Source organism: Homo sapiens, chromosome 16, assembly GCF_000001405.40.
Source record: "Homo sapiens chromosome 16, GRCh38.p14 Primary Assembly".
Taxonomy (NCBI): domain Eukaryota; kingdom Metazoa; phylum Chordata; class Mammalia; order Primates; family Hominidae; genus Homo; species Homo sapiens.
Window position 1 is genome coordinate 2,646,912 of NC_000016.10, and position 11,118 is coordinate 2,658,029.

At 50.3% G+C, this 11,118-nt stretch overlaps 1 annotated feature.

Annotated features, from left to right (window-relative positions):
• Nucleotides 6,746–7,736: an enhancer, noted in NCBI's record as "H3K4me1 hESC enhancer chr16:2703658-2704648 (GRCh37/hg19 assembly coordinates)". NCBI's record gives its function as "activates a minimal SCP1, AML or CMV promoter by ChIP-STARR-seq in primed H9 embryonic stem cells {active_cell/tissue: H9 hESC(primed)}" and the evidence as "EXISTENCE:reporter gene assay evidence [ECO:0000049][PMID:30033119]".

Here is an 11,118-nt window from a genome sequence, read left to right on the forward strand (position 1 = left end):
CTTGGGCTGGGAGTTCAAGGTTGTGGTGAACTATCACCGAGACCCTGTACTCCAGTCTGGGCAACAGAGCAAGGCTCTCTTTTCTTTTTTTTTCTTTTTTTTTTTTTAAAAAAAAAGCTCCTCACAAGAGAAGTCCACCAAAAACACCAGTGCCCACCTCACAGGTGTGGGGTCACCATGCAAGCCCCCCACTCCCTGGTTATGACCTGATCACTGGGCTTTGCTACACACACACAGGTGCACGCACCACCCCCAAGGGAAGGCGGGGAGCTGTGGCCTGCCTCGCCAGCAGCCTCGCACGCTGGCTCCCTGGGGCTCCTTCCTCATGACCAAGGCCTGCCCAGGTCAGTGCGGCTTCTTTCCCACCAGGAGCCTCCTGCCAACCACGTCTTTCCACACCCCCTTCTCAGTCCTGGCAATCAATCAATCTCCCCACTCAGGACAGGACCCCCTCTGTCCTCTTCTACCTTCTACTGCACTGTCGAGACAAGCTTCTGTGACTTCATCAGTGCTGAGAAATGTGAAAGACGTGCCACGGCACAGGTCTACTGAGAACAGGGAAAGGCCAATGTTCTCAACAGAATGTGGCTGGGAGAATAAGCACCATCAACAGGTTAGGTCCTTAAAGCTACCAGGTGCCATCCCCCAAGTCCCTGGAAGAGGGGCTCTCACATCCCCCCGCGCCACTCAATGACGAGTCACTGCCCCCTACTTATTCCCACAGGCAGATGGGACCACCAGGTGCTGGTCCTGTTGCTACTTTCCACAGCAGGCACTCAGGTTTCAGCCAGCCCCAGCCCGAGCCCGAGCCCCCAACCACACCTCTGATAGGAAAACAAACCCTGAGTTTTAAACAAATTGAAACTTGTAAAAATGTAGCCCATGGGTAAACTGGGCATTTTCTGAGAATTTTGTTTCATAAAATATGTATATAAGAACTTAGAGTTTCAATTTCTTTAACTTGTCTGGGTATGAAGTTCAGCAGTCTCCATCTCTTAGAAGTAGAAACCAGGCAGGGTGCAGTGGCTCATGCCTGTAATCCCAGCACTTCCAGAGGCCGAAGTGGGAGGATGGCTTGAGTCCAGGAGTCCAAGACCAGTCTGTGCAATATAGTGAAACCCCATCTCTACAAAAAAATATATAAAAAGTAGCCAGGCATAGTGGCGTGTGCCTATAGTCCTAGCTACCTGTGAGGCTGAGGCAGGAGAATCACTTGAGGCCAGGAGTTCAAGACCAGCCTGTGCAATATAGTGAGACACCCCCGCCCCATCTCATTTAAAGAAAAAAAAGAGTAGAAACTCTCTTTGCCGGGCACAGTGGCTCATGCCTGTAATCCCAGCACTTTGGGAGGCTGAGGCGGGCAGATTGCCTGAGGTGAGTAGTTCAAGACCAGCCTCGCCAACATGGTGAAACCCTCTCTCTACTAAAAATACACCACATTAGCTGGGTGTAGCAGCGCCATAATCCCAGCTACTAGGGAGGCTGCGGTAGGAGAATCACTTGAATCCAAGAGGCAGAGGTTGCAGTGAGCAGAGATCACGCCACTGCACTCCAGCCTGGGAGACAGAGCAAGACTCCATCTCAAAAAAAAAAAAAAAAAAAGTAGAAACTCTCAAGGGAAAATTAATTTGAGATCTAATTACGTTTTCATAACCACCAAAAACAAATCCAGGCTCAACTGAAGTATGCAGCACATTGTTTAGTCACTAACAAGTGTTTAGAAAAATGTCAACATCCAGCATCCCACACTCAAAACTGCTAAATGTAGCAACCATTTAATTAGCAAATAGATTAAAATGCAAATGAATCTGGTAGCAAAGGAAAGCAAGTGGCCTGTGGGTTTCTCCTCCCATCAAGTCTCTCATCAAGAGTCACCTCGAGTCTTCCAGAGCTGCACACAACAGCTTCACTCGCGAGACTGTCAGGAAGACAAAAACTGATTTTTTAAAATGCAGAGCCACATTTTTTTTTTTTTGAGACAGATTCTCGCTCTGTCCCCCAGGCTGGAGTGCAGTGGTGTGACCTCGGCTCACTGCAAGCTCTGCCTCCTGGGTTCAAGCCATTATCCTGCGCCTCAGCCTCCCGAGTAGCTGGAACTACAGGTGCCCACCACCACATCCGGCTAATTTTTTGTATTTTTAGTAGAGACAGGGTTTCACCGTGTTAGCCAGGATGGTCTCAATCTCCTGACCTTATGATCAGCCCGCCTCGGCCTCCCAAAGTGCTGGAATTACAGGCGTGAGCCACCGCACCTGGCCAAGCAAGAATTTTATAGAAGAAATGAGCTTGGGAAGCTGGAAGCTTCTAAAGACTCAGGGTTAGTGCAATGAGGAACAGTCTTTCAGCCTCAGGGGGAGGCCGCTGTTCTCTACACATCCAATATTTGAGCAACTGCAACTAGCTTACTTAAACATGTCTTGACTCCTAAGAAGGTTCCTTTTTCCCCCTACAAACCTGCTGCAGAAGAATAAAATCCAAAATATCACCTGAGTAAATAGATCCAAAAGAATAGTCATTAGCTACTAACCTGTCTCAGCCTTTTGCACTTGAACTAGTCCTGGGCCTCAAATAGACATAGCTGTTCCAAGTGCCACGTCAGAACGCCCGCTCTGCCACTCACTCGCAGTCAATCCCTTGGCACATTACCTCAGCTTTCTGTGGCTCAGATTCCTCATCTGAAAGTCAGGGAGCCACAGGGCCGACCTCCCAGATTTGCCATGAGGATTTATTGAGTTCACCTACAAGATTCACCTGAGCAGGCCTTGAAGCCAGCTGGAAGCACTTTCACAATGAAGTAACACAGAAGACACAAAGTTTTCTCAACCAACGGTCACTGGATCATAGAATAAGCCTTTCAAAGCTAAATGAACCGTGTCCCCTTTTCCAAATGCCTTAAATATCTACTGGATTAGAAGGCCCAACTCTAACTTTGAGGACAAAACTATATAGAAAGGCTGAGCTCCCTCACACACGGGAGATAAATCAAGAAAGAAATCAGGCAGGGCACAATGGCTAACACCTGTAATCCCAGCACTTTAGCAAGACAAGGTGGGAGGATTGCTTGAGGCCAGCCTGGCCAACATGGTGCAACCTCGTCTCCAATAAAAATACAAAAAAGTTAGCTGGGTGTCGTGGTGGCCACTTGTAATCTCAGCTACTCGGGAGGCTGAGGCAGGAGAATCGCCTGAACTCAGGAGGCGGAGGTTGTAGTGGGCAGAGATTGGGCCACTGCACTCCAGCCTGGGCGACAAAAGTGAAACTCTGTCTCAAAAAAAAAAAAAAAAGGCCGGGTGCTGTGGCTCATGCCTGAAATCCCAGGACTTTGGGAGGCTGAGGCAGGTGGATCACAAGGTCAGGAGATCAAGACCATCCTGGCTAACACGGTGAAACCCCGTCTCTACTAAAAATACAAAAAATTAGCTGGACGTGGTGGCGGGTGCCTGTAGTCCCAGCTACTCGGGAGGCTGAGGTAGGAGAATGGTGTGAACCTGGGAGGTGGAGCTTGCAGTGAGTCGAGATTGCGCCACTGCACTCCAGCCTGGGCGACACAGCAAGACTCCGTCTCAAAAAAAAAAAAAAGATGGAAATCAGGGCGCCTCCTATGGTCAAGATGCTGTCACGCAGATGAACACTTCAACCAGCAAGAGAAAGGATCCCGAACAGAAAGCTAAGCTACCTTTAAATGGCAGTGTGTGCTCTGGAGCCTGGGAATGCAGTGCGACAGGTAGAGCCAGCGCCCGCACACTCTCACACGCGGCAAGCAGGAACTGCTCTCTCCAGGCCCCCGGACCAAAGTTGTGGGAGGCTGCCACAATCCACCTAGCTCATCTCCAAAGGGATCCTGCCCTCAGGTCAGCTGTGCTCACTGGCAAAGAGCATTCTGGTAAAAACCTCCTCTCACCTCAGAAAACTCCACAAAGCTAGGCCCAGCACAGAAAACCAGGTGGAGGAAGGGGGTGTTAGGGAGGGACAGCCGCCACCTTCCCCTACCCCTCAGGCTGCCACCACCAAGGACAACTGTGGTGGACTAGCAAAACCAATGCCCCAGTTGAGTTCCAGATTTACAGCTTACCTGTGGGTAAGCCACCGCTCTCCGACCCATCAAGACTCTTCTCTAAAATGAGGCTAATGACATGGGCCCACCCACAAGGGCTGCGGGACCCACACCAGACAGGAGTGTGAAGCACTCCGTGGAATCTGGTGGGCAGCTCACAGGGCAGGCCCTATGGCGGAGGGGATTCTCGGTGTGCTCGTACCAGCAACCCGTGCCCGAAGGCCCTGCCCACGCTGGTCCTTGGCCACGGGGAGCTGGCCCACAGCAGGCAAGTGGTCACCAACGCTCTCCCACGGTGCAACTCAGCAAAACGCAGCTCGCCCCCACCAGCGTGGAGCCCTGGCAACAGGTGAGGGCCGGAGGAAAGCTGTTTCTATTTCTCCACGAAGGGAGGGAGGAGCAGCTCCAAGGACAGCTACTCAATCTGTCCTCCCACAGCCATCTCCACTGGCCTCCCAAGGAGCCTCTCACTTACCCAGGGCAGACAGAGGGCAACGAGGCGCGGACTGCCAACTGCCTCAAGTCTGGTCCTCAGGCTCAACCGGGCTGCCAGCCTCAGGAAGCGCCAGGTCTCAATTTCACTAACCCACATCTTCAACATTAACGTTGTATATTTGTCACACAAACAGATGATGAAACACCAAAGTACAAGATTTCTCTGCAAGGAGGCTTTGTTCCCTTCCTGCACTTTGGAACTTCCTACAGGTGTACTTTAAACACCACTGATCAACATGAAAACCAGGATGCCAGTTACCTCTGAACGGGAGGGGCCAGAAACTACAATCTGGAGGGCCACTCGAGCCTTCTGGTAAAATCCTGTTTTTCAAGTAGGGTGGTGGGCACGTGTGAGTTTATTTTCATTCTTTAAACTCTCCATATATCTTCTGTGTGCCCCTTATAGGTATAACTTTAAATGCTGTTGTTTAAAATAAATAAAATGCCATTTTTCTCTACTAAAAAAAAAATTTATTAAGTGCTTGCTGTTTGCCACACATTCTTCTGAGCATTTTACATGTATTATCGTGGTTAGTCCTCAAAACAACTCTGGGGGTGGGTACCATCGGCATCCTTTCTACAGATGGGGACACTGAGTATACAGCAGGCTTTTGTCCAGTCAAACACTCCACAGTGAGGTCACACGCAATTCTGAAGCAGAATCCAACTACAAGGCCCACACTCCCAGCCCTCCCATGAGTAGGGGGTCGCCCATCTGAGGCTGATGTGTGTTCACCAGGGAACCAGGAGGGGCCGGAGGAAAACTGCAGCACCTAATCCTCAGTGCCTCGCCACAGCGCAGGCCACACCCTCTGACCTGCCCATTCCCCTACATGGCATCTAGGCGACACAGTCAGAAATTCAGACTAAGATTTATATTATTAAAATATTCATTAAGAAGTTACTCCTAGGCCAGTTGCGGTGGCTCACGCCTGTGATCCCAGCACTTTGGGAGGATCACCTGAGGTCAGGAATTGGAGACCAGCCTGACCAACATGGAGAAACCCTGTCTCTACTAAAAACGCAAAATAAGCCAGGTGTGGGGGCGCATGCCTGTAGTCTCAGCTACTTGGGAGGCTGAGGCAGGAGTACCACTTGAACCTGGGAGGCAGAGGTTGCAGTGAGCTGAGATCGCGCCACTGCACTCCAGCCTTGGAAACAGAGCGAGACTCCGTCTCAAAAAAAAAAAAAGAAAAGAAAAAGAAAAAGAAAAAAAAAGACAGGAGCAGCAGGCAGAAGGGGAGCAGACTCATCTCAAACCTGCCTCACATCCCCTGGAGGGATGCGGCCCCACCCGACTGGAAACCAGCCCTGTCAGTCTGCCTTGCTGGGGATGGCTCTGTCCCTGCAGAGTGTCCCAGGAGCATGCATGCCTGCAGAAAGCAGGTGCCTGGACTCCATGCCAGCTCTGACCCAAAAGTCAGAAGGCCTCCAGGTCCCAAGTGTCTTCATCTAGAAACTGGAAGGATCCAACTGGGTGAGCAAGAAGGTCCCTTCTGAAATTAAATTACCACCAGTGTCCTACAATCTATGACACAAAACCCCCAAGTAGCAGAGAGCAGAGCAGGCCTATGTGCTTCCTTTTGGTAAAGTAAAACTAATTTTGCCAGACACAGTGGCACGTACCTGTAGCCCCAGCTACTCAGGAGGCTGAGGTGGGGGGGTCGCTTGAGCCCAGGAGTTGGAGACTGCAGTGAGCTATGATCCCACCACTGCACTCCAGCCTGGATGACAGAGCGAGAGCTCATCTCTAAAGCAAACAATAATAATTTTTTAAAAGTTTTGTAAGTAATTTTGTTGAACGTCACCAGCGATGAGTCACGTGGATGTCCTGTACCCCAATACGACGCACTAAGGGCACCTCATCTCTGTGGGATTCTTCCTAACCCCACAACCTGTCCAACCACAAGACATCAAACAAACCCAAATGAAGGCACATTCTGCAAAATACCTGACCAGGACTCCTCAAAAGTACCAAGCTGATGACAAACAAGGAAGGACGGCAGCTATCCTACACCAGAGGGGGCGAATGAGACAGGACAACGCGATGCGATGTGGCACCGGGGCGGGGTCCTGGGACAGCAAGGACATCAGGAGGAAAACTGATAAAATCCAAAACAGGCCTGTCGCTCGGTGAGTAGTGTGGTGCCAGCGCGAACACCTCAGTTTCGACAGAGTGACAGAGGTATCACGGTCATGTCATGGCATTAGGGGAAGCTGGCTGGGGGAAATTATGGAAATTCTGTGTCGTCTGCAATTTTTCTACATACCTAAAAGTATTCCAAAATAGTTGATGTTTTCAATAATTTTTGTTAGGAGGCTACTTTGAGAGCTTCAGGTAAACTCAGGATCTGAAAACATCCTGTGTCATTCAAAACCTGACCCTGACTCAACGCTGAACGTTAACTTTTAAAATGTAGGGCTACTGAAGGGAAATAATATACCTGGAAGGAAAAAAACCCTAACAGAACAAGTTTAGTATGAATTTCTTACTACCACCAACTTCTTTGGCATGTTTTGTCCAAAAGGTCTCAGAGTTTGGATGCAAACCCAGCCTCCCAGCAGAAGCCAGCTGTATCAGGCGAGTGCAGGCCGCCTAGAGGTCCTCCAGGCCCACACGAAGAGCGCGTCCCACTCAGAACCTCCCCCACTGGAGGCCGATTCCCTGCTCAGGCAACCCAGACCTCCCCGAGTCGCCACCCCAGCCAGGAGAGCTCCTCCCCTGCTAGTCCACGTTGGGGCCCAGACTCTGCCCGGCTCTCTGAAGCAGCCCCACAAAGGCCGGTCACCCTCTCCTGCTCAGACACTAACTACCCTCCCTCTATGGGCACCATCTGCAACGGCCGTGCTATTGACTGTTTCCCTTCTGCCCCTGGGGCTCAGAGAGGGACAGGAGCATCAGGTGGACCGTCCCCCTTCAAGCTGTAGAAGCCATCTTTTTCACACAACATTTCCTCAGGCCAGGAGCATGGGGCCCGTTCTGTTCATAACCACTTTTCCTAAACCAACCGGGGCCGTCCTCACCCTTTCTGCCCCAGGCACAAAGCTCAGCGCCAGCAGCATCTGCACAGGAGAGCTTGCTAAGATTTTTTTTTAAGCATCATTTTGAGCTTCCGACTTTTTACGGAATGAGAACGCAATGCGTTCACCAAGAAAATCTATATTCAGATGCACATTTTAAACTAGATATCTGATAATAACCAGGTACGTACATACAATCAAAAGACTGTAATTCTGACCGATGGAAAAAAGCCATGAAAGACAAATGCCAGCCTGCAGGAAGAACATGTGAGTTACCCATGGAAAAGCAGCCGGAAGCGCTCCGAGCATCTGAGCGTCTGAGCCCGTGCTCTGAAGGAGCTGTGTACTCCCTCAGCCTGGCGTCCAGAGTCAGGCCCAACTGGGAGAGAGAAACGCAGACGAACCTAGCGCTCGCCCTCAGGAAGGACCCCCGATGAGGTCCACATGGGGGGAAATGAACAGCCGTCAGCCTTCCTAGCTCGTAAGTTGGGAGCCTGCTCACTAACCTGCCTCCCCAGGGTCTGGCTGCTGCGGCTCTCCAGATCAAACCTTCCCAAGAACAGGGCTGAGCAAAGCCAGCGCTCCATTCTTCCAAAGACTGATCTGTCCCCATCCTTTCCCACAGGGGAAGTCCAAGCAGTGCTGTGTGCCAGCCAGCACTGGCACACGGTGGGTCTGAAGGTCAATTAGCCCCGCCCCCACCGAGGTCGGAGAGCTCTCACTCACTGAGCCCTGGGCCTGGGTGCACAGCGGGGACTCTGAGACAGGTGGGCTGCTGAGATCCTCACTGCTGGGCTCCCCAAGGACCATCAGTCACACAACCATCCTGGGGATATAGCTGCAGCTCTACAGGTGGCTGCACCCACCCACAGAGCACACGTCCCTTTTGCCGCCACAGGACACCTTAGAAGCTACAGCAAAGTCAAGGCCTAGGAAAAGCCTCATGGCACCTTGCTCAAGCAGGATACAGACCACGAAAGCAGGGCCCCGCTGTCAGGAGGGAAAAGCAGTGTAAAGTCAGAAGGGCCACTAAGGGATACTGGGCATGGTGCAGAGATTGGGCATGGTGGCTCATGCCTCTAATCCCAGCACTTTGGGAGGCCAAGTTGGGTGGATCATGTGAGGTCAGGAGTTCAACACCAGCGTGACCAACATGGTGAAACCCTGCCTCTACTAAAAATACAAAAATTAGGCTGGGTGCAGTGGCTCACGCCTGTAATCCCAGCACTTTAGGAGGCCAAGGAGGCTGGATCACGAGGTCAGGAGTTCAAGACCAGCCTGGCCAATATGGTGGAAACGCGTCTCTACTAAAAATACAAAATTAGCCAGGCATGGTGACGCATGCCTGTAATCTCAGCTACTCAGGAGGCTGAGGCAGGAGAATGGCGTGAAACTGGGAGGCGGATGTTGCAGTGAGCCAAGATCGTGCCACTGCACTCCAGGCTGGGTGACAAGTTTGAGACTCCATCTCAAAAAAAAAAAAAAAAAAGATTAGCTAGGTGTGGCGGCACAGGCCTGTAGTCCCAGCAACTCAGGAGGCTAAGGCTGGGGGATGGCTTGAGCCCAGGGGAGTTCAAGGCTGCAGTGAGCTATGATCACACCACTGCATTCCAGTTTGGGCAACAGAGTAAAACTGTCTCTATAAAGGACTTTGAGGAGGACTGGGGACCACTGAGGAAGGCTGCATGTCACCTTTGCATTAGAAAATGCCATGTTATGATAAAACTCCATCTCTACTAAAAATACAAAAATTAGCCAGGCACGGTGGTACACACTTGTAGTCCCAGCCACTTGGGAGGCTGAGGCAGGTGAATCACTTGAACCCAGGAGGTGGAGGTTTCAATGAGCCAAAATCAAAGTACTGCACTCCAGCCTGGGCAACAGCATGAGATTCCATCTCAAAAAAACAAAAAAAAAAAAAAAAAGAAAATGCAATGTTAATTCTATCTCGGATGTGATAATGATGAGGTTGTAGAGGAGACAGCTTCTGAGCTCAGAAGGCACCTGGAGAAGGATTCTGGGGTGAAATGCTATCATGTGTGTGACTTACTTTCAAATAATAAAAATAATAGAAAAAAATTTGGGGAGGTGAGAGGGTAACATATACAAGCAAATATGGAAAAGGTTAACAACTGGTAGAATCCAGGTGAAAGGCTAGGGATATTCATTGTACTATGCGTTCAACTCTTCTTTAGTTTTGAAATTTTTCAGAATAAAAATTAGTGGAGAAAGGTTCATCTTCAGTCCAGTAAGCTCCAGGAGACAGAGCCAGACCTACCTTATTCACCACTGTTTCTCCACTGCTAGCACAATGCCTGGTCCTTATCCCACTGGCCCAGGAAACCACTGCTAATGTTTCTGTGGGAACCTCCCTCCAAGCTTTTCCCTGGGCCTGAGGAAAGTTATACTGGGCATGCTGCTTTGCAGCCAGCTCTTTTCAGATAGAAATACTTTGTAACCACCTGTCAGGAGAGTACAGTCTGCCATCCCCATCCATAGGTTGACTCCACATGCATGGATTCAACCAACAGTGGATAGAAAATATTAGAAAAACAAGAAATTGCATCTGTACTGAACATGCACAGACTTTTTTTCTTGTCATTATTCCCTAAAGAATATAGTAAAGCAACTATTTACATAGCATTTACATTACATTAGGCATTATATGTAATCTGGTGATGACAGAGTACACAGGAGGGTGTGCACAGATTATATGCAAACACTATACCACTTCAGAGCAAGGGCTTCAGCACCCTCCGACTCTGGTATCTGAGAGAGGTCCTGGGACCAATTTCCCACAGATCCTGAGGGACGACACAGACTTCACCACAATGTTTCTACCTATCTCTGCCTGAGGGAAATTCAAGATATTTCCAGTTCTCCCCTATTTCAAAGCTGTGACAAATATTCTAGTAGCAAAATCTTTGCATACACTTTAATTATTTTCCGATCTTAAATTCCCAGAACGGGAACTGTTGAATCAGCCTGTGTTTGAACACGCGCTGGCAACTGACTGCTGCCCCACCTCAGCAACGACAGGCGCTTACGTTCCCACCTGTACTGAGTTCCAGCTTCCATCTACAAATGCCAGATATTGCCACTTTCACTGCAATGCACTCCAGCCTGGGCGACAGAGCAAGATTCTGTCTCAAAAACAAAAAACAAAAAACCCAGCAGATTGGTCAGAAAAGACTGTACAGCCACAGGGGTTTCCATGTAGGGAAATTTCTCTAGGCAAGGAGGAAAAGCCTGAAGAAGACAAGAACTGCTGAGAACAGGGCAGCAGGGAACATCCTGGACCCACCTGGGCCGCACAGGCTGGAAAGAGAGGCCGTGGCCGGGCATCCGAGCCTGGGCCCCTCACAGAGGAGGAACAAAGTGACAGGCCAGGAGAGGAGGGGAAGATGCAGGAGTGCTGGCATCTGGGGACCAGCCAGCAAGTCCTTGGAGCCCTCCCTCACCAGAAAAGGGGAAGCAGGAAGGACAGCGGCAATGGCCAGAGTGAGGAGAATGCAGCGTCCTGCAGCTCCATGGAGTGAGCGCCTCCT